The sequence below is a fragment of the Homo sapiens genome, chromosome 1 (assembly GCF_000001405.40).
Source record: "Homo sapiens chromosome 1, GRCh38.p14 Primary Assembly".
In the NCBI taxonomy this organism is placed as follows: Eukaryota; Metazoa; Chordata; class Mammalia; order Primates; family Hominidae; genus Homo; species Homo sapiens.
Genome location: NC_000001.11, coordinates 29,088,073 through 29,112,536, shown reverse-complemented (window position 1 = coordinate 29,112,536; position 24,464 = coordinate 29,088,073). Strand labels below are relative to the sequence as shown.

Below are 24,464 nucleotides of genomic sequence, written 5' to 3'. Positions count from 1 at the left end.
CAGATGAAGATGGCAAACAAACTCCTGTATTCATCGGTCTTCCTGCCCAGGGACCCCTCCCAGGCCCAGATCTCTTCAACATTCCCACCTGATCATGGTCAATATCAGCATCTCCTGTGATCACAATTCTCTTTTCAATACGTGTCTCTGAAATCCCACCTTTTACAGTCTGGAACCAAAGAGAAGATGTCATATGAGATCAGCGATATAACAAGAATTAAAAAAAAAGAAAAAGAGGCCAGGTTTAGTGGTTCACACTTGTAATCTCAACACTTTGGGAGGCTGAGATAGGAGGAATGCTTGCGGCCAGGAGTTTGAGACCAGCCTGGGCAACATAATGAGACCTCGTCTCTATTAACAAACAAACAAACAAAAAAAGAAAAATAGCAAAGATTATTCCGAAAGCTCCACTCCAAATTTTAATCTACTGCTGGGTACTGCAAAGGACAGCTTTCTAACCTACTTGTCCAAAATCTCAACCAGACCTGCTACTTCTACTCCCTTGTAGAGTACACTTCTACTCCCCTGGATTATTAAAATCTTTGTTTTTTTTTTTTTTTGAGACAGAGTCTCGCTCTGTTGTCCAGGCTGGAGTGTAGTGGTGTGATCTCGGCTCACTGCAACCTCTGCCTCCCGGGTTCAAGCAATTCTCCTGCCTCAGCCTCCTGAGTAGATGGGACTACAGGCACGCACCACCATGCCCAGCTAATTTTTGGATTTTTAGTAGAGATGGGGTTTCACTATGTTGGCCAGGCTGGTCTCAAACTCCTGACCTTGTGATCCACCCACCTCAGCCTCCCAAAGTGCTTGGATTACAGGCGTGAGCCACCACATCCAGCCTTGATTACTACAATCTTTTTTATTTATTTATTTATTTATTTTTTGAGACGGAGTCTTGCTCTGTCGCCCAGGCTGGAGTACAGTGGTGCGATCTCGGCTCACTGCAAGCTCTGTCTACTGGGTTCACACCATTCTCCTGCCTCAGCCTCCCAAGTAGCTGGGACTACAGGCGCCTGCCACCACGCCCGGCTAATTTTTTCTATTTTTAGTAGAGACGGGGTTTTTTGTCAGCTAGGATGGTCTCGACCTCTTGACCTCGTGATCTGCCCGCCCCGGCCTCCCAAAGTGCTGGGATTACAGGTGTGAGCCACCGCGCCCAGCCTGGATTACTAAAATCTTTATTAAGCTAAACAGAAAGTCACAATTCTGTATTTACTTTCTCCTTTTTCTTCCTCCTGAATACCACAGAAATCTAGCAAGTAAACAAAATAGGACTTTCTGTGCTCTTCTCTCATACATTTCTGTTTTAGAGACTGGATACTGATGCTATACATTTTAATTGATCATTTTCTTTTTCTTTTTTTTTTTTTGAGATGGAGTCTTGCTCTGTTGCTCAGGCTAGAGTGCAGTGGCATGATCTTAGCTCACTGCAACCTCCGCCTCTTGGGTTCAAGTGATTCTCCTGCCTAAGCCTCCCGAGTAGCTGGGACTATAGGCGTGTGCCACCATGCTCGGCTAATTTTTATTTTTTTAGTAGAGATGGGGTTTCGCCATGTTGGCCAGGCTGGTCTTGAACTCCTGATCTCAGGTGATCCGCCCGCCTTGGCCTCCCAAAGTGTTGGGATTACAGGCATGAGCCACCATGATCATTTTCAAGAGGAAAAAAATCTGAAGGCTATGAACAAATATGTCACACAGCTTGAAACTGGGCTCTTGTATTTTAAAGCATTTTCATATTATTGATGTCAAAAGGTCCTCACATAATCTCCTGAGGGTGAGTAGATTTCTCTTTCTGGTAGATGAGGAAAACCAAGGTCTAGACACATTAAGTTAACTAGTTTCCAGTCATCTGTGTATTGATGAGAGAGCTTGGTCAAGAAGCTATATTTCTTACCTATTAAAAAAAGTATTTTCCTCTAGTGTTACAGCAAACATCGATTGCCTCTGATTTTCTGGGGGTAGTTCCAATTTTAGATATTTTCTCTCTCTTGCTTCCTATAAACTACATTCTAATAATTCCAATATTTCAGCATCCAAACAAGTTCTCATGGCCTTGTCCCTGGAATGCTGTAAAAATTCTTCCTCAGACCCAGAGTTCTGATTTTGGGCTTGGAAAATATGGTTGTATAAAAATACCAAAAATAATTTCCCTGAAGCTGACTTTTTGTTTTGTTTTGTTTTTACAGAGATAGGTTTTAGGGTCTTGCTCTGTCACTCAGGCTGGAGTGCAGTGGCATGATCACGGCTTACTGCAGCCTTGATGCCCTGGGCTCAAGTGATCCTCCCACCTCAGCCTCCCAAGTAGCCGGGACCACAGGCATGCGCCATTATGCCCAGCACATTTTTTTTTTTTTGTATTTTTTTGTACAGATGAGGTTTCACTATGTTGCCAAGGCTAATCTCAAACTCCTGGGCTAAAGGGATCCACCTGTCTCAGCCTCCCAAAGTACTGGAATTACAGGTGTGATTACACCACGCCTGGCCCCTTAAGTTAACTTTCTATTGAGATAGAGTCTGCTCGCTCACCCAGGCTGGAGTGCAGTGGCGCAATCTCTGCTCACTGTAATCTCTGCTTCCTGGGTTCAAGCAATTCTCCTCCCTCAGCCTCCCGAATAGCTGGGACTACAGGTGTATGCCGCCACACCCGGCTAATTTATGTATTCTTAGTAGAGACGGGGTTTTACCATGTTGGTCAGGCTAGTCTCGTACTCCTGATCTCAGGTGATCCACCTGCCTTGGCCTCCCAAAGTGCTGGGATTACAGGTGTGGGCCACCATGCCTGGCCATGCTGACTTTTTAAACTTACTTCCACAGCCAGACAGGGGACTCACTGACCAGAGAGACAGATGTGTAAAGAGAACAACCACACCTACCTTTAGGAGACTACTAAGTAGGCAGGGATACTCTCAGGGTATCTCCCTAGATTTATTGCTGGGGAAGGCAGCAGGGCCTTTCCATCCAGGACTCTTTGAATAATGTGGCTTACTAGGGATGGAGCTGAAAATATTTGCTTATGGACTAGGGTCCTTCTTGCAGAGAGGTGGCAGCAAGCTTAGCCTGCCCCTGGGTTCCATAAAGAGGTTCTAGCTGGTCTGTTACCTTGGTAATTTGAGTTGTGGTGGTGCTGCTTGGGGTCTCAGATGTGATAGTTTGAGCTGTCAGCAAGACTCCTGGGTCCAAGTCTCCACTGTTGTCGTCAGTCTGCAGAAGAAAGCATGGCTCATCATCATGCCTCTCAGGAAGACTGGGCAAATGTTGCAGGCTGCAGCTTTGCTCTTCAGCTGCACATTCTGATGCAAAAATCTCATTCCCTTAGAATGACCTCTTTTTTTTTTTTTGAGACGGAGTTTCACTCTTGTCGCCCAGGCTGGAATGCAGTGGCGTGATCTCAGCTCACTGCAACCTCCGCTTCCCGGTTTCAAGCAATTCTCCTGCCTCAGCCTCCTGAGTAGCTGGGATTACAGGCATGCACCACCACACCGGGCTAATTTTGTATTTTTAGTAGAGATGGGGTTTCTCCATGTTGGTCAGGCTGGTCTCAAACTCCCCACCTCAGGTGATCCGCCTGCCTCGGCCTCCCAAAGTACTGGCATTACAGGTGTGAGCTACCGCACCCGGCCAGGGTAACCTCTTTTTTTTTTTTTTTTTCAGGGTAACCTCTTAACAAATAAAATAAATTGGGCCATGCTCGGTGGCTCATGCCTGTAATCCTAGCACTTTGGGAGGTGTAGGCGGGTGGATCACCTGAGGTCAGGGGTTTGAGACCAGCCTGGCCAACAGAGTGAAACCCTGTGTCTACTAAAAAAACAAAATTAGCCGGACGTGGTGGTGCTTGCCTATAATCCCAGCTACTCGGGAGGCTGAGGCAGAAGAAATGCTTGAACCTGGGAGGTGGAAGTTGCAGTGAGCCAAGATCCCGCCACTGTACTTCCAGCCTGGGCAACAGAGTGAGACTCTGTCTAAAAATAAATAAATAAAATAAAATAAAATAAATTCCCTGGGCACAAAGTTCCTTCTAAGAAAGTTGGATGGGTATAGTTTCCTTAGCACTGAGTCAGTGACAGGAATGGATCAGAAATAGGAGGCAGGGGCCGGGCACGGTGGCTCAGGCCTATAATCCCAGCACTTTGGGAGACCGAGGGGGGCAGATCACCTGAGGTGGGGAGTTTGAGACCAGAATGACCAACATGGAGAAACCCCATCTCTACTAAAAATACAAAATTAGCCGGGTGTGGTGGTGCATGTCTGCAGTCCCAGCTACTCGGGAGTCTAAGGCAGGAGAATAGCTTGAACCCAGGAGGCAGAGGTTGTGGAGAGCTGAGATTGCGACATTGCACTCCAGCCTGGGCAACAAGAGCGAAATTCTGTCTCAAAAAAAAAAAAAAAAAGAAATAAGAGGCAGGAACATAGCCACAGGTCAACATTAGTGACAATAATTAAGCACATGTATAGCATTTTATAGTTCACAAATGCCTTTCAAACATTAGCTTTTTTTTTTTTTTTTTTTTGAGATGGAGTCTTGCTCTGTCACCCAGGCTGGAGAGTAGTGGCGTGATCTCAGCTCACCGAAACCTCCACCTCCTGGGTTTAAGCAATTCTCCTGCCTCAGCCTCCTGAGTAGCTGGGAATATAGGCACGCGCCACCACGCCCGGCTAATTTTTGTATTTTTTTTTTTTTTTTTTTTGAGATGGAGTTTCGCTTCTGTTGCCCAGGCTGGAGTGCAATAGTGTGATCTCGGCTCACTGCAACCTCTGCCTCCCAGGTTCAAGCAATTCTCCTGCCTCAGCCTCCCAAGTAGCTGGGATTACAGGCGCCTGCCACCACGCCTGGCTAATTTTTGTATTTTTAGCAGAGATGGAGTTTCACCATATTGGCCAGGCTGGTCTCGAACTCCTGACTTCGTGAACCGCCCACCTCCACCTCCCAAAGAGCTGAGATTACAGCTCTTTGAGCCACCGCGCCCAGCCGCTAACTAATATTTTCTTCAGCCAAGACCAGTCATCTACTTTAGATTCAGACTCAACTAATATTTATTATACTCCTACTATGTGCCAAGCATATAATTCAACTGTTGTCTCAATTATGCCTCTCAATATCTGAGGGAGGAACCATTATTATACACATTGTACAGTTAAGAAAACAGAGCTCCAGAGAGGTTAAGAATTTGTCCAAGACTCTAATGGGTGTTTGAACTAGGACTCAGGGCAAGAAACTCCCTGTTTGAAGTCTGGGGTTTGGGTCCCCACTCAGACAGTAACCAGCTGTGGAACCTTGGGCAAGTCACTCTGACTTCTCTGAGCTTTAGTTTTCTCATTTATTTGATTTTTAAATTTTTATTTATTTTATTTTTTGTTGAGAGGGAGTTTTGCTTTTTCCCCAGGCTGGAGTACAATAGTGGGATCTCGGCTCACCGCAACCTCCACCTCCTGGGTTCAAGCGATTCTCTTGCCTCAGCCACCCAAGTAGCTGGGATTACAGGCGCATGCCACCACACCTGGCTAATTCTGTATTTTTAGTAGAAACAGGGTTTCACCATGTTGGCCAGGCTGGTCTCAAACTCCTGACCTCAGGTGATCCACCCTCCTCAGCCTCCCAAAGTGCTGGGATTACAGGCGTGAGCCATTGCACCCAGTCTAGTTTTCTCATTTATAAAAGCAATACTGGGGACTGGGTGCAATGGCTCACACCTGTAGTCCCAGCACTTTGGGAGGCCAAGGCAGGCGGATCACGAGGTCAGGAGTTCAAGACCAGCTGACCAATATGGTGAAACCCCATCTCTACTAAAAATACAAAAATTAGCCAGGTGTGGTGGCAAACGCCTGTCGTCCCAGCCACTCAGGAGGCTGAGGCAGGAGAATCTCTTGAACCTAGGAGGTGGAGGTTGCAGTGAGCCAAGATTGTGTCACTGCACTCCAGCCTGGGTAACAGAGGAAGACTCCATCTCAAAAAAAAAAAAAAAAAAAAAAAAAAATCCCAGCTACTCGGGAGGCTGAGAGGTTGCAGTGAGTTGAGATTGCGCCACTGCACTCCAGCCTGGGCAACAAGAGTGAAACTCCATCTCAAAAAAATAAATAAATAAATAAAATAAAAAATAAAAGCAATATGGGAATATGTGTTCTGCCTACACCGTAGCACTGTTGTGAGCATACAAAGAAATTATACAAATAAAATTAGCTTATAAATTGTTATAACATGAATTTGCATGCCAGAAGGGCTAAAGCTTTTTGAAGAACTCCTCTATAAACCTGTGACTCTATCTTTATCTACCTCCTGCCCGCTCCCTCTAGTCTCTTTTCTGTCTCTGAAGAATGCTAAAGATGCAGGAGACACTGTTATGTTTTCCTACTTACCCTGTTCCCATACAGGGCCTGTTTTCCTTGATCCTCTTACCAATGTTTCCTCATACTGGTCATTTGTCCTATGACCCAGCAATTTGACTCTTAGATGTTTACTCAAGATAAATGAAACGCCCACAACAAGATTTGTGGCCAGGCACGGTGGCTCATGCCTGAAATCCCAGCACTGTGGGAGGCCGAGGCAGGTGGATTGCCTGAGGTCAGGAGTTTGAGACCAGCCTGGCCGACATCATGAAACCCTATCTCTACCACAAAATACCAATAAATTAGCCAGGCATGGTGATACATGCCTGTAGTCCAGTTACTCTGGAGGCTGAGGCAGGAGGATCGCTTGAACCAGGAGGCGGAGGTTGCAGTGGGCTGAGATCATGCCACTGCACTCCAGCCTCGGCAACAGAGCCATACTCTGTCTCAAAAAAAAAAAAAAAAAAAAAAAGATCTGTACATGAACATTCATAGCAGCTTTATTAATATTTTCCCAAACTGAAATTCATCCAACTGTCCATCAACAAATGAATGGATAAACAAATTGTGGTATATTCATTCAATGTAATACTATTCAGCAATAAAAAAGAGGGAACTACTGATTCACATAACATGGATGAATCTAAAAAATATTATATTCAGAAAGAAGGCAGACACTGTTGGGTACGGTGGCTCAGGCCTGTAATACCAGCACTTTGGGAGGCCAAGGTGGGTGGATCACCTGAGGTCAGGAGTTCAAGACCAGCCTGGCCAACATGGTGAAACCCCGTCTCTACTAAAAATACAAAAATTAGCCAGGTGAAGTGGTGGGCACCTGTAATCCTGGCTACTCAGGAGGCTGAGGCAGGAGAATCGCTAGAATCTGGGAGGTGGAGGTTGCAGTGAGCTGAGATGGTACTACTGCACTCCAGCAGCCTGGATGACAAGAGTGAGACTCCAATTCAAAAAGAAAGAAAGAAGCCATACACAAAAGTGTACTACTGTATACTTCTACTTACATGAAGTCCAAACCAGGCAAAACTAAGCAATACTGATAGAAAGCAGAGCACTGGCTGCCTAAAGGGGTAGAAATCAGATGGAAAAGGCTATGAAGCCAGTTTCAGGGGTAATGTTCTGTATCCTAAATGTGTCTTGGTTACACATGTATAGCCATTTGTCAAAACCAATCAAATTGCTAGGCATGGTGGCTCACATCTGTAATACCAGCACTTTGGGAGGCTGAGGAGGGAGGATTGCTTGAGCCCAGGAGTTCGAGATCAGCCTTAGCAACAAAGTGAGTCCCGTGTGTACAAAAAATTAAAAAATTAGGCCGGGCACAGTGGCTCACACCTGTAATCCCAGCACTTTGGGAGGCCGAGGCGGAAGGATCATGAGGTCAGGAGTTCGAGACCAGCCTGACCAACATGGCGAAGCCCTGTTTCTACTGAAAAAAGAAATACAAAAATTAGCCAGGCATGGTGGCCCGCACCTGTAATCCCAGCTACTCAGAAGGCTGAGGCAGGAGAATTGCTTGAACCCGGAAGGCAGACGTTGCAGTGAGCTGAGATCATGCTACTGCAGTCCAGGCCAGGTGACAGAGCGAGACTCCGTCTCGAAAAAAAAAAAAAATTAAAAAGTCACATGTAGTGGTGTGCGCCTGGAGTCCTAGCTACTCATGAGGCTGAGGTGGGAGGATCACTTGAGCCCAAAAGGTCGAGGCTGCAGTGAACTGTGGTCATGCCACTGTAACTCCAGCCTGGGCAACAGTGCGAGACCCTGTCTGTGCATTTCACTGTATGTAAATTTTACCTCAAACACACCCATATACACACATAAAAAACTACACGTAAAAACTATCCCCTCTGACCATGTTTTCCAAAGCACAGAGACTGTGAATAAATAAAAAAATGGTGCTCCGGCTTACTTATCCAGCAAGATAATAAAAGCAAAAGTAGAAATAGTAAATAAATAATAACAATTGCAAATGAATATCTAGTGCTTATTATCTGCCAGGCACTTTGGAAACATTTATGTGCATTAATTCATTTATTCCTGACAACAATCCTATGAGGTACAACTATTAGCCACATTTTACAAATGAGGAAACTGAGGCACATGGCGATTTAGTAATTTGACTGCACACTAGTGACAGGGCAGGTTCAAAGCCAGGAAATCTGACTCTGACTCGAAAGTCAACACTCTTCCCCACTCTACCCCACTGTCTAGCATAAGTAATAAAAAGCAATGTGGGCCGGGAGCAGTGGATCACGCCTGTAATCCCAGCACTTTGGGAGGCCAAGGCGGGCAGATCACCTGAGATCAGGCATTCGAAACCAGCCTGACCAACGTGGCAAAACCCATCTCTACTAGAAATAAAAAAATTAGCCGGGCATGGGGGCGCATGCCTGTGGTCCCAGCTATTTGGGAGGCTGAGGCTGGAGAATTGCTTGAACCTGGGAGGTGGAGGTTACAGTGAGCCGAGATCGCGCCACTGCACTCCAGCCTGGGTGACAGAGTGAGACTCCATCTCAAAAATAAATAAATAAACAAACAAACAAATAAAATAAAAAGCAATTTGTATCTTGACTGTCTTAAGCCTGGTTAAAATGAAATAAAGGCAAATGTTTAACAACGCAATATAATAATAGCTACCATTATGAATAGCTAATAAATACCAGGCAAACATTGTGCTTATTTCAATAACTTGATCACAGTATTTTTCAGAAGAGAAAACTAAGGCTCAAAAAGATAAGGGACTTGCCCAAGGTCACAAAACTAGCAAATGTCGGAATTAAGACCTAAGTCACTCTAATTCCAAAGCCCACGGGCTCTGTCAAGAATATCACGCTGCCTTTATATTTCTCTAATATGTCAGGATATTTTAAAATGACTGCTTCCATTTCCTTTTTTTGTAGGAGCTACCTACACCCACACCACAGGGACTTCTGTGGTCAGTGTGGCTCTAACTTTTAAAACAATTTATTTTGAACCATTTAAATTTTGGGGGCGCAGGGTGCGGTGGTTCATGCCTGTAATCCCTGCACTTTGGGAGGTCGAGGCGGGCTGACTACTTGAGGCCTGGAGTTTGAGACCAACCTGGCCCACAAGGTGAAACCCTGTCTCTACTAAAAATATAAAAATTAGGCTGGGTGCGGTGGCTCACACCTGTAATCCCAGCACTTTGGGAGGCCAAGGTGGGTGGATCACCTGAGGTCAGGAGTTCGAGACCAGCCTGACCAACATGGTGAAACCCCGTCTCTACTAAAAGTACAAAAATTAGCTGGGTGTGGTGGTGGGTGCCTGTAATCCCAGCCACCTGGGAGGCTGAGGCATGAGAATCGCTGGAACCCAGGAGGTGGAGGTTGCAGTGAGCCGAGATGGCACCACTGCATTCCAGCCTGGGCGACAAGAGGGAAACTCTGTCTCAAACAAAAATAAAAATAAAAATATGAATATAAATATTAGCCAGGTGTGGTGGCATGCACATGTAATCCCAGCTACTCAAGAGGCTGAGGCACGAGAATCACTTGAACTCGGGAGGCAGAGGTTGCAGTGAGCTGAGATCATGCCACTGCACTCCAGCCTGGGCTACAGAGCAAGACTGTCTCTAAATAATAATAATAATAATAAAATAAAATTTTTTGGCTATGTCTATGCTATAAAAATTTTAATACTTCAAAATGTTTTACAGTGAAAAGTCAGTTTCCCTCCCACTCCTGACCCGAGTCCTGCAGTCTCAGTCTCCTTCATCAGGGGCCACTATACGTTTTGGTTGTTGGTTTTTTGTTTTGTTTTTTAGTACCCATTCAGAGAGAGTGTATTGATATACAAACCTAAACACACATAGCTGCAATATACATCCCTTCTCCCCTCCATAAACAGTACCACCATAGTGCACCATGCTTGTTCACTTACCAATTTATCATGTAGCTTGTTCCCATCAGAAGCTTTTATTAAAGGCCACACAGAATTACCTTAATTGGATGTACCATAATGTATTTAACCAGCTCTCCACTGATGGACATTTAGCTTGTTTCCATGGTAGTGACAACTTAAAGGGATTCTGCCATATGAAGTAATTATTTCCTATATCCTCTGGCTAATAGCGTGTACAATTTTTAAGTAATTTCCTATTCCTTTCTTTTTCAGTCCCCTTCACTGCCAAGACCTATTCATTCATTTCTCTGTCTCTCTCGACTGACACATTTCTTTTTTCTTGTTTCCTCAGACACTTCAGTTCTTTACAAGCATTTCTCCAGAGATGTTCTAGTCATATTCCTGGTCCCAGACCTCTCCCTACTTTATTTTGTTTTTTTGATACAGGTCCTCACTCTGTTCCCCAGGCTGGAGTGCAGTGGCACAATCACAGCTCACTGCAGCCTCGAACTCCTGGGCTCAAGGGAGCCTCCGCCTCAGCCTTCCGAGCAGCTGAGACTATGGGTGCGTCCACCACGCCTGGCTCATTGCTTCAATTATGCCACTTTGTTAGTATCGATAAACTTTACGCAACCTCTCATTATTTGTTTATTTATTTACTTATTTATTTTTGAGATGGACGCTCGCTCTTTCACCCAGGCTGGAATGCAGTGGCATGATCTCGGCTCACTGCAACCTCCACCTCCCAGGTTCAAGCGATTCTCCTGCCTCAGCCTCCCAAGCAGCTGGGACTATAGGTGCACGCCACCACGCCTGGCTAATTAAACTCTCATTATGTACCAAACTCAAAATCTGCACTCTAGACCACGAAAGAGAGAATAGGGAAGCATACTGACACTAAGTGTCCATAAACATGCCCAGTGCTTTGCAGACATCATTTCACCTAATTTTCCTCCAAAGCTTGCAATGGTCAGTGGTATTATCCCCACTTTACAAACAAGGAAATACAAGCTTAGAGAGATTAGCAACTTGCCTAAGGTTACCTAGTTGGTACCTACCTGATTGAGCTAGGATACAAATTCTATTTCTCTCTTTCTCTTTTTTTTTCTTTTTTTGAGATGGACTTTTGCTCTTGTTGCCCAGGCTAGAGTGCAATGGCGCCATGTTGGCTCACTGCAACCTCCACCTCCCGGGTTCAAGCGATTCTCCTGCCTCAGCCACTCGACTAGCTGGGATTACAGGCATGCACCACCGTGCCCGGCTAATTTTGTATTTTTAGTAGAGATGGGGTTTCACCATGTTGGTCAGGCTGGTCTTGAACTCCTGACCTCAGGTGATCCACCCACCACGGCCTCCCAAAGTATTGGGTTTACAGGCGTGAGCCACTGCACCCGGCCCTCTTTTTTTTTTTGAGACAGGGTCTTGGTGTGTTGCCCAGGCTGGAGTACAATGGCATGACTCTAGCTCACTGTAGCCTTGAACACCTGGGCTCAAGAAATCTTCCCAACTCAGCCTCTGAATAGCTGCAACTACAGCTATGCCACCACACCCAGCTAATATATATATTATATATATTATATATTTAATGTGTAATTATATATTAATTTACATATTTAATATAATTATATGTTGTATTAAATATATATTATAATTATATAATTTAATATGTATAATTATAAATATATATATAATATTTTATTTATATATATATAAAAGAGATGGGGGTCTTACTTTGTTGCCCAGGCTGGTCTGGAACTACTGGTCTCAACAGATCCTCCCTCCTCAGCCTCCCAAAGTCACTGTGACCAACCCTAATTCTCTTTTTTCTAATTGCAATGCACGTGCTTTTATTTTATTTATTTATTTATTTATTTTTTGAGACAGAGTTTCACTCTTGTTGCCCAGGATGGAGTGCAATGGCGCCATCTTGGCTAACCGCAACCTCCGCCTCCCAGATTCAAGCGATTCTCCTGCCTCAGCCTCCCGAGTAGCTGGGGATGTGCCACCATGCCCAGCTAATTTTTTTGTATTTTAGTAGAGACGGGGTTTCTCTATGTTGGTCAGGCTGGTCTTGAACTTCTGACCTCACGTGCTCCGCCTGCCTTGGCCTCCCAAAGTGCTGGGATTACAGGCGTGAGCCACCACACCCAGCAATGCACATGCTTTTAAATTACCAAGCCACACTGTTTCCTAAATGGAGATAACATCATCCAGTTCATGGTGAGGTGAGGATTAAGTGAAAAGATTTATGTGAAAGCACCTAGCCAGAACTTCACATGGCTATCTCTTTCCCATCATTCAGACCTCAGCCAAAATGTCACCTCCTCAGAGAGGAATTCCCTGATTATCCTAGTCTCAAAGCAGCAATCTTTCATGTAATCCCATATTGTCTAACTCTTTACCCCATTTTAGTTTCCTTATAGCATTTACCACTGTCTGAAATTTACTTATACATTGTTTATGTGCTTTATTGCCTGTTTCTCCTAACTAGAATGTAAGTTCCAGAGGGTAGGGACTATGTATACCTTGTACATTGCTTTGGCTTAATATTGTGAACACTCAATAAATATTTGTTGCAGGAATGAAATAACAGCTCAGTTTATAGAGGGAACTGTTTTTCTTACTTTTGGCTTCTGTGAATAACAAAAGAAAAACAATTCAACATAAATCAATTCTAGTCCATTGAAACTACCAAAAGTGAGAGACATTTTACTGAAAGTGGGAAGTAAAAAAATTTTTAGCAGGGCATAGTGGCACATCTTGGGAGGTCAAGACAGTTGGATCCTCTGAGCCCAGGAATTTGAGATCAGCCAGGGCAACATGGTAAAATATCGTCACTACAAAAAATTAGCGAGGTGCAGCTGTGCATGCCTGTAGTTCCAGCTACTTGGGAGGCAAAGGTGGGAGAACTGCTTGAGCCTGGGAGGTCTAGGCTGCAGCGAGCTAAGATCATGCCACCTGCACTTCAGCCTGGGCAACAGAGTGAGACCCTTTCTCAGAAAAGAAAATTTGGCCAGGCGTAGTGGCTCACCAGTAATCTCTTCTTCTTCTTCTTTTTTTTTTTTTTTTTTAATGCAGTGGAGCAATCTCGGCTCACTGCAACCTCCTGTGTTCAAGAGATTCTCCTGCCTCAGCCTCCTGAGTAGCTGGGATTACAGGTGCCTGCCATTACACCCAGCGAATTTTTGTATTTTTAGTAGAGATGGGGTTTCACCACGTTGGCCAGGCCGGTCCTGAACTCCTGACCTCGTGATCTGCCCGCCTCGGCCTCCCAAAGTGCTGGTATTACAGGCGTGAGCCACTGCACCCGGCCACCAGTAATCTCTCCTAAAAAGAACTATAATCCCAGCACTTTGGGAGGCCGCGGCAGGCAGATCACTTGAGGTCAGGAGTTCGAGACTAGCCTGGCCAACATGGTGAGCCCCAACTCTACGAAAAATACAAAAATTAGCCATGTGCACATGACTGTAGAGGCTGAGGCAGGAGAATCACTTGAACCCAGAAGGCAGAGGTTGCAGTGAGCTGAGATCATCACGCCACTGCACTCCAGCCTGGGCGACAGAGTGACTGAGACTCCGTCTCAAAAAACAAACAAACAAACAAAAAACACTTAAATCCTCATAACACCATGAAGTAGATATTAACGTCATGGGCAGAGGAGATCAAGGCTCAGAGATATTCAATTACTTGTCCAAGTCAGTAAGTGGAGGAGCCAGGACTTGAACTCAGGTTTTTTCAGACCCAAAGCCCATGTTCTCAACCATTACACCAGACTGCCTTATGCAAATGAATTGGGTGGATATAAGCAATCAGATCTAAGACAATTTTGCTTTAAAAAAAATTTAGGCCAGGCGTGGTGGCTCACGCCTATAATCTCAGCACTTTGGGAGGCCAAGACAGGCGGATCACGAGGTCAGCGGATCAAGACCATCCTGGCTAACACGGTGAAACCCCGTCTCTACTGAAAATACAAAAAAATTAGCCAGGCGTGGTGGCGGGCACCTGTAGTCCCAGCTACTCGGGAGGCTGAGGCAGGAGAATGGCGTGAACCCGGGAGGCAGAGCTTGCAGTGAGCCGAGATTGCGCCACTGCACTCCAGCCTGGGCGACAGAGCGAGACTCTGTCTCAAAAAAAAATATTCAGATGGCGTTTCCTGGGCTCAAGAGATCCTCCCACATCAGCCTCCTGAGTAGCTGGGACTACAGGCATACACCAGTGTGCTCTGCTCAATTTTTTGCTTTAGATAAAGTAGTCTGGGACCTTCTTAGACCAGTAATCTCTTCTAAAAAGAACTGCCCCAGAAAAACCTGGTATTCTTGGCGATAAATGACTAGAAACTCTGTGAAGAAAGGTTATTAATTTTGTTTGCAGCCTTTGGTTCTGAAGCATCAAAACATGTCCTACCTGGGCAGCCTCATAAGTGATGGTCTTGGTCTCAGTGTGGACAATAGGGACGTCTTTGGTTGGGATTTCACTTTTCACAGCATTGGCATTATCTGAGATGGTGACAGTTTGTGTCTTCACCAGGGGAGGCTGTGAAGCAGTAAGGAAAGAGTTACTAGAGTATTTCTGAAGGCAATGGAGAAGTAATCTTCTGACACTGATCTGATCAAAGTGTTAGCTTTAATTAAGTACAGAGCTAGCTCAATCTACAAAGGTGTTTACCCTGCCTAAGACTTCGACAGTATTCCAAAGTAACCCTGACAAGGTGTCAAATCATGAGGGATATTAAAAAGCAGCATTACTGTAATCACTTTCATAAGCTTAATGGAAAGCTGTAAGAGCAGACAGTTATGATTGGTGATATAAAACACTTCAGACTGACCTTCAGAATTTGAATATAAAACGATTTGCCAAATAGCAATCACTTTGATTTGTCCTTGTGTCTGTACCATTATAATTAAGAAAATCAGCCACATTTCCTCCACTAAGTACGAATGGTACATGAAACAGCAGTGGCAATGGAATGCATTACCCTCGAATTCATTAACTTCTTTCAAATCAATGTCAGAGATTCACTTTGGAGTTATTGAGAAGAGACAGTATTTGGAAAACTGGAAAGAAAAAAACAATCAGTTCTACCACCACCTGGTGATTAATCCCAGAATTTCAGAAGAATGAACATTAGTGGAATACCAAAGGCCTTCTTGTCCATCTGCTCACCTTCCCCAGGAGTATAAATCACACTGAAACTACCATTTGATTGTAATAAGGTTAAGTGGCCAACCACCTTAGCATAGGAAATCAGTGCCTATGATCCTGAATGCTCTTGTGGGTGGGGTCAGTGGGAGTGGTGGGCTGCACAATGTGGCTGCAGTACATAAATTATTTGGGGCCTGAAATCTCATAAGAAGATGAGTTGCCCCTTTAATTAAGAGTATTTGAATTTTTTAAGCATGGTCTCAGAACACTGAAGCCTCCTCACCACAGAAGTCACCGCAATTCACCTCTTTCCATAGCCCACACTTGAGCAAGGAAAAGATGAACACACTTAACCAGCTTCATACTGACAGCTGGAGTTTTGTTAAGTTATCAGAGAAGAAAGCATTTCTAGCCATGCAGTTAATTGCTCTGAATGAATTTCTTTGGCACAATCAAAGGCTTTTAGTCTGTGATTTTGAAAACAGCAGGGAGGCCACTACCCTCACCATACCACCACCACCTCCTCCACAGGACAGATTCTGGCCCTCTTCCAAAGACAGTCATTAGACCTGCATCATTGAATAAATTACTACCTGGAAACTTCGAATGAGGGTGGGGAACTGGTTACCCACATGAAAGTCAAGAAATGATCCATTTTGTTTTCCAGGTGGCTCTCCTGGTGTAACATGTTCTTCACTACTCTCTGCCTTTTTTACACCAGGTTGCAGCTGACAGGAAGCTGGTGTTACTGAGAACTTTAAGGCACTGGCCTGTTCCTCCACTCCTATACATCCCCCAGTTGGGCCTCTTGGCATCTCCTTAATATCAAGATAGCCAGCTGCCCCCTCCTCCTTCTCTTCTGTCTCCTTGCTGCTTATGGAGAGGGAGCCAAAGGCAAAGCTTTGCAGAGACTCCGACGAGGTGGTCATCTGGCTTTTACTAGGAACTACCGAATGCTTGGGACCCTCCCATTCAGAGTCAGGGTTAGTAGATGGCCCCTTTGTCACGACAGCCACCTCCTCTGTGCGAATGCCATTTATACTCTACAAATGAATGAACAGATACAAAAGCAAGAAGATTAGGTATAAGTGGGAGAATGAACTCTGAGAATCAACAATGATTTTTGGAAGCCTCAAAAATATTGCTACTAATATAAACTAAGAATCTTAGCTGATAACATGGTCAAAAGGAAGAGCTGCTGTTCACTACACATTATCAGCAGCTTAAGCAGTTCCAACCTAAGTTTGGTCCTATTTCTATATCATTGTTAATCTGAAAAACAATTATCCAGCAATTTATATTCCTATGGTCTTCCTTGTGTTACTTAAAGGAGTTACTTTGTCATTCCTAAATGCCTAAGTTATTACTATGCACAGGACACAATGCAATTTGTGCATCAATCAAAATATATTCTTTTTTTTTTTTTGAGACAGGGTCTCACTCTGTCACCCAGGCTGGAGTGCAGTGGCCTGACCATAGCTCACTGCAGCCTTGAATTCCTGGGTTTAAGGGATCCTCCTGCCTCAGCCTCCAGAGTAGCTAGAACTACAGGTATGCTCCACCAAAACCTGGCTAAGTTTTACATGTTTTGGAGAAACAGGGTCTCACTATGTAGTCCAGGTTGATCTCAAACTCCTGGCCTCTCATAATCCTCCCACCACGGCCTCCCACAGTGCTGGGATTACAGGTAAAACATATTCTTGAGGAACCTAATCAGGTTGAAAAATGTTTCATATTTCCAAACTGTATGTATCCTCACACTAGCCCTGCATGGAGAAGCTAAAATCTAGACTAGTTGTCAGGGAGACAGAAGTTGAGTACATCTAGCACAGGCTTACTTCAATCACTGTCATGGCATCAAACATGATATCAAAAATGGTGAAATGTTTCTTTGTAAACAATTAAAATGACCCAGCAGCTGAGATGTATTTCTTCACAGATGAATGACACAACACCTCCAACCTCCAAGAGAAATAAATTCCGGAAACACAAGAGTTCCCTCCTGGGCCAAATACCTCACTCCACAGGAAAAACAGTTCTAAAGCAAGTAGAGTCACCACTCTGTATCTGTGGGTTCTGCATCCATGGATTCAACCAACCATGGATCAAAAGTATCTGGAAAAAAAATTGCATCTATGCTGAACATGTACAGACTTTTTTCTTGTCATTGTTCCCTAAAGAATATAGTATAACAACTATTTACATAGCATTTATATTTTATTAGGTATTATGAGTAATCTAGAGATGATTTAAAGTATTCAGGAGAATATGCATAGGTTATATGTAAATACCATGTCATTTTAAATCCAAGACTTGAGCATTTGTGGATTTTGGTATCCAGGGGAGGTCTTGGAACCAAGGCCCCACAGAGGATGAGGGACCACTGCACATGGAAGAGAATGTGGAAGAGAAGATACCATCCCAGTAGATGGACCTATTCCTAAAGTTAAAAGAAAGGTGCTCTAGGTGGAAGAAGAAGGAATTCACACTAGTAGGAAATGAATTAGTCATTTGAAAAATAAATAACCTTGCCACAAAAAGAATAAAACACCTAGGAATGCCAGCTAACCAGGAAGGTGAAAGATCGCTACAACGCTACAGTAACCAAAACAGCATGGTAGGCTGGGCATGGTGGTTCATGTCTGTAATCCCAGCACTCTGGGAGGCTGAGGCAGGCACAGATCACCTGAGGTCAGGAGTTTGAGACCACCCTGGCCAACGTGGCAAAACCTTGCCTCTACAAAAATACAAAAATTAGCTGGGCATGGTGGCATGTGCCTGTAGTCCCAGCTACTTGGGAGGCTGAAGCAGGAGAATTGCTTAAACTCGGAAAGTGGAGGTTGCAGTGAGCTGAGATCAAGCCACTGCACTCCAGCCTGGGTGATAGAATGAGACTCGGCCTCAAAAAAGAAAAAAAAGAAAAAAAATAAGAAAACAACAACAACAAAAAACAAACACCAGCATGGTGTACTGGTATGAAAATGGACATATGAAACAGAATAGAGAACCTAGAAATAAGGCCACACACCTACAACTATCTGAACCTCGACAAAGCTGACAAAAACAAGCAATGAGGAAAGGAAGAATTCTCTATTCAATAAATGGTGCTGGGATAACTGACTAGCCATATACACAATATTGAAACTGGATCCCTTCCTTATACCATATACAAAAGTCAACTCAAGATAGATTAAAGACTTAAATGTAAAACCCAAAACTAATAAAAACCCTGGAAGACAACCTAGGCAATAGCATTCCGGACATAGGAACTGGCAAATATACATATATATTTGGAGACAGAGTCTCGCTTTCTCGCCCAGGTTGGAGTGTAGTGGTGTGATCTTGGCTCACTGCAACCTCCGCCTCCTAAGTTCAAGCGATTCTCCTGCGTCAGCCTCCAGAGTAGCTGAGACTACAGGTGTGTGCCACCACGCACGGCTAATTTTTGTGTTTTTAGTAGAGACGGAGTTTCACCATGTTGGTCAGGCTGGTCTCGATCTCCTGACCTTGTGATCCACCCACCTCGGCCTCCCAAAGTGCTGGGATTACAGGCATGAGCCACAGTGCCCAGCTAAGAACTGGCAAAGATTTTATGATGAAGATGCCAAAAGCAATTCACAACAAAAGCAAAAATTGACAAATGGGATCTAATTAAACTTAAGAGCTTCTGCACAGTGAAAGAAACTATCAATAGAGTAAACAACCTACAGAATTGGGGAAAATATTTGCAAATTATGCATCTGACAAAGGTCTAATATCCAGCATCTATAAGAAACTTAAACAAATTTACAAGAAAGAAACAACTCCATTAAAAAATGGGCAAAAGGACATGAACACTTTTCAAAAGAAGACATGCATGTGGCCAACAAGCATAAGAAAAAAGGCTCAGTATCACTGATCATTAGAGAAATGCAAATCAAAACCACAGTGAGATACCATCTCCCACCAGTCAGAATGGCTGTTACTAAAAAGTCAAAAAATAACAGATGCTGGTGAGGTTGCAGAGAAAAGGGAATGCTTACACACTGTTGGTGGGAATGTAAATTAGTTCAACCACTGTGGAAAGCAGTGTGGTGATTCCTCAAGGAGCTAAAAACAGAACTACCATTTGACCCAGCAATCCTATTACGGGTATATACCCAAAGGAATATAAATCGTTCTACCATTAAGACACATGCATGTGTATGTTTATTGTAGCACTATTCACAATGACAAATATATGAAATCAACCTAAATGCCCATCAATCGCAAATTAGATAAAGAAAATGTGGTATATATATACCATGGAATACTATGCAGCCATAAAAAAGAACGAGCTCATGTCCTTTGCAGGAACACAGATGGAGCTGGAGGCCATTATCCTTAGCAAACGAACACAGGAACAATAAAAGCAAATACTGCATGTTCTCACTTATAAGTGGGACCTAACTGATGAGAACACATGGATACAAGGAGGGGAACAACAGACACCAGGGCCTACTTGAGGGTGGAGGGTGGGAGGAAGGAGAGGATCAGAAAAAATAACCATTGGGTACCAGGCTTAGTACTTGGGTGACAAAATAATCTGTAAAACAAACCCCCATGACACGAATTTACCTACATAACAAACCTGCGCGTGTACCTAAAATAAAAGTTAAAAGAAGAAAAAGAAATAACCTAACGAAAGCCAAATGTTATGGCAAGTGACATCTGCATGTGCTCACCAGAGAGCTGTATATAAGCCACTTAGGCATGAAATCTTGGTAAGAGCCTTTGACCATATTACAAACCACAGAGAAACAATAAAGAAAGGAAGAAGGTGTTCCTGGCCAGGCACGGTGGCTCACGCCTGTAATCCCAGCACTTTGGGAGACTGAGGTGGGCGGATCACCTGAGGTTGGGAGTTCGAGTCTGTCCAACATGGAGAAACCCCATCTCTACTAAAAATACAAAATTAGCCAGGCGTGGTGGCGCATGCCTGTAATCCCAGCTACTCGGGAGGCTGAGGCAGGAGAACTGCTTGAACCTGGGAGGCAGAGGTTGTGGTGAGCCAAGATCATGCCATTGCACTCCAGCCTGGGCAACATGAACGAAACTCCGTCTCAAAAAAAAAAAAAAAAAAAAAGAAGGTAAGAAGGTGTTCCTATGAGTAAACAATACAGTTTGAACCAGCTTACACACTGTAGTACTCAAATCAATGTTATAGGTATTATATTAGGAAAATCACTGCTGCTCCTTAACTTGTAAACCAGCCTCCATTGTGATGAATATTAACCAGGGCTCCATAAAGGCAAGGAAAGACACACTGAACACAGGAACTTCAGGCCAGCTTCACTCCCAAGCCATTTTGAAACATGCAACTCAAAAGCGTCTCAAACTGGCACTAGTTGAATTCATATTAGGTAGATCTTTCATTGGCTGATAACAAATATGACTTAGGATATGAAAGATGGAACTGAAAGACTGACAACAAGGCTGTCTCTGTCTGCAAATGTATCTGAGATACAGCAATTATTCTTGACAAGAATGTATGAATTTCCTCATATTTAACATGAAAATAATACTTGGTTTGACTTATAGGGTTCTGAAGATAAAATACAATAATATACTGTATATGAAACCATATTGTAAATTCTAAAGTACTATACTTATTTAATTCAACCAACCAATGAGCAGAGCACCTATAATGTCCTAGGGTCTGGGGGACACTAGAATGAATTTGTCATATTGTTAAGATGCTATGCTACTTTCCAGGGCACTTATCTCACTGTTTCTTTTGAGTCAGGCAAGTGGCTATAGAGCTGTCCAAAAATAGATCAGCTGGTATTAAACAAATAGGCTTTCTGAAATTGCTACATGCTAGTCCTAGCATTGTGAATAGCTATCTAAACCCATTCACATGGAGAGGAACTTTGGGCTTCTTCAAATAATTTGTCACAACTGAGAAGGCTGATTAATAATCAGACAAATACCTAAGATAATCAAGTAAGAGCCAATTTTGTGCCAGTTTGTTCAAGTGATAAGTAGTAGTCTGTCATCAAGAAGCTATTTGTGAACTAAACATTACTTAGGCCAGCACCACCTGACCCAAACTTGCCTACTGCTGAGTTAAATTAGACAGAACAATCTCTTTTTTTCCAAAGCATGTGTAGAAGACAACAATGATAAAAGCCCTAGCCACAGTAATTTCAACTCAACAAATATTTACTGAGCACCTAACATGTACTAGTCTTCAGAAATAAAAGAAAAACATAACAGTTGGGTTGGATTACCATTTATAGCACACTCACATATGGTCAAATCAACTTCTCAAGTTGACACTGTTATCCAGATCTCCAGGACAACACAGACAATTATTTGTTGAGCATCCTCCCAGGGGTGTAGAATGCAACATGTTGCAAACTAAACTCATCTCTGCTGCTCTCTGGGCTTCCCACCCCAACTTCCTCTATCATTTCTTTTCTTTTTGAGACAGGGTTTCGCTCTTGTTGACCAGGTTGGAGTGCAATGGCGCGATGTCAGCTCACTGCAACCTCTGCCTCCCAGGTTCAAGCGATTCTCTTGCCTCAGCCTCCCGAGTAGCTGGGATTACAGGCATTTGCCATCGCGCCCGGCTAATTTTGTATTTTTAGTAGAGACAGGGTTTCTCCATGTTGGTCAGGCTGGTCTTGACCTTCTGACCTCAGGTGATCCACCTGCCTCAGCCTCCCAAAGTGCTGGGATTACAGGAGTGAGCCACCACATCCGGCCCCTCCGTCACTTCTATCATATTAGTAGAAGGCATCTCCATCCATCCATCCAATCATCCATGCCAGAATTCTGAGAATCATCTTCAACTTCTTCCTTACATTTATCCGCTAACCCCCAGAGATTATGTCATCAAGGCATTTTTATTCCATTTTAATATCTACTTTATCTATTTGCTTTAATGTTTCCCTCATCAATTCCCACATTTACTACCTTTGTTCAAGCTCTTCGCCCAGGCTGGAGTAGAGTGGTGCAATCTTGATTCACTGAAACCTCCACCTTCTGGGTTCAAGTGATTCTCTTGCCTCAACCTCCAAGTAGCTGGGGTTACAGATGCGTGCCACCATGCCCAGCTAATTTTTGTATTTTTAGTTGAGACAGGGTTTCACCATGTTGGCCAGGCTGGTCTTGAACTCCTTACCTCAAGTGATCTGCCCACCATAGCCTCCCAAAGTGTTGAGATTACAGGTGTGAACCACTGTGCCCAGCCTGTTAAAGCTCTTAGAACGCCTCATCCAGATTACCACAAATGCCCTCAACGGTTTTTCTTCTTTCCTTTCTTCCTTCCTTCTTTCTCATCTCAAACCTTCCTTGAACGTGTCCTCTATTATGCTGCTAAAGTGCTTATTTCTAAAATTAAACACTGAAAATTCAGTTTTCTAGTTTAAAACCCTTCACTGGGTTTTAGTAAGACAGAAAATACTTTAAAATCTGACCCTTACCTCTCTCTCCAGCTTCATCCAGCTACAACTCCACATATATCCTTCTCCCCATTACTCCAAAACTATTTGTATTCCCTAGGACAGAGCATCTTTCTATTATCTCTGTGCCTTTGTAAATCTTATTCCTTCTGCCTGGAAGTCCACACTTAGCTCAACTGTCATTTCTTCTAGATTTTCCTTGGCTGCCTGAAGTATGTTTAGATACCAGTCCTCTTTGGTTCCCATTGTACCCTGTCATCACTGGCATATTCATCTGTCTTTTCCATTAGCCTATGAAATCCTTGGGGGATGAGAACTTGTTACTGTCTTACTTAGCTCTCTATCTTTCTTGTACAGTTTTTGGTATGTAATAGATGCTCAGTAAAAACGTGTTGAAGGTATGTTAGGTAAATCCAGGTCACTTGAGAACTTCTTCTTTGTCCTGTGCTATTCTGTAACTAAAATGTTTAGAAAAGCATGTTTAGGAAGAAATAAACAGTGGCTCATTTGACCAGACTCATAGTCTAGTCCAGCATTTTATCTCCTCCATCAGTAAAATAAGAGAAAACTAATATTTTTGTATGTTTACCATGTGCCAGGTGCTGTGCTAATCACTTGAGCATGTTTTTTCATTTAATTATTTACAGTATAATTATGAAGTAGTCATTATTTCTATTTTATAGATGAACAGATGAGCAGCTAGTGTTTAGACTCAGATCTATCTCTGGTTCTAAAGCCCATCTTCTTCCCATGACACCAGAAGGTATTTCAAGTAGGACCAAAGCACATGTCCTATTTATTTTACTTATGTATATATTTATTTTTTAGACATAGGCTCTCACTATGATGCTCAGGCAGGATTCAAATCCCTGGGCCCAAGGGATCTTCCCATCTGAGGCTCCCGATTAGCTAGGACTACAGGCACATGCCAGTGTGCCCAGCTTCAGGACATGTCCTATTATGCTCAAAATAACACACAGCAAACCCGACTTTAACTTTGAGACATACAAACAGCGCCCAAACTCCTCTTAACAGAGTCTGTTCTGAGTGGCTGACACTAGATTTTTACATATAAGAAGGCTGAGAAGCCAGAAGACAAGACTGGCCAGAAGAAAATATAAAGTCTCCATGACACAAGACACCCAGAATTTGGCATTTAATATCAGTAAAGAATTCTGACAGTGTTGTTGCCTTTGGCTGTGACCATCATCAAGGGCCATTGGATTATATAAGACTGCAACTGCACATACCAAATTAGCCTGAAAACTTTAAAGGGATCTTCTCAAGTAGAAGATGAATATATGGCTGTGTCTGAACCATCCTCAGTGACAAAAAGGCAAAGCTGAGACTTAATGTGATTCAAAGGTGTTAATCTAGATGTCGCTTACCTGAACTGATGGGGAATCTGTAAGAAAAAAGATGCTGGCCGGGTGCAGGGGCTCACACCTGTAATCCTAGCACTTTGGGAGGCCGAGGCGGGTGGGTCACCTGAGGTCAGGAGCTTAGGACCAGCCTAGCCAACATGGCGAAACCCCGTCTCTACTAAAAATACAAAAATTAGCCAGGCGTGGTAGCGCACGCCTGTAATCCCAGCTACTCAAGAGGCTGAGGAAGGAGAATCGCTTGAACCCAGGAGGTGGAGGTTGCAGTGAGCTGAAATCGTGCCACTGCACTCCAGCTTGTGCGACAGGAGGGAGG

The 24,464-nt window shown here is 43.7% G+C and overlaps 1 protein-coding gene across 57 annotated transcripts in view; it reads right to left on the bottom strand.

The window, feature by feature from the left end:
* Nucleotides 1–24,464, bottom strand: part of EPB41 (erythrocyte membrane protein band 4.1) — a 232,942-nt gene that overhangs the window by 7,505 nt on the left and 200,973 nt on the right. For 21 of the 57 annotated variants that reach the window (NM_203342.3, NM_001166005.2, NM_203343.3 and 18 more), the window contains 3 exons: nt 14,602–14,730; nt 3,100–3,201; nt 89–169 (listed from right to left, as the gene is read on the bottom strand). In NM_203342.3, coding sequence (NP_976217.1) covers nt 89–169; nt 3,100–3,201; nt 14,602–14,730 — 312 coding nt within the window. Of the gene's footprint in view, nt 1–88; nt 170–3,099; nt 3,202–14,601; nt 14,731–15,932; nt 16,383–24,464 lie in introns of all 57 variants that reach the window. The other 36 variants (XM_005245753.2, XM_047448937.1, XM_005245757.2 and 33 more) reach the window with 4 other exon arrangements.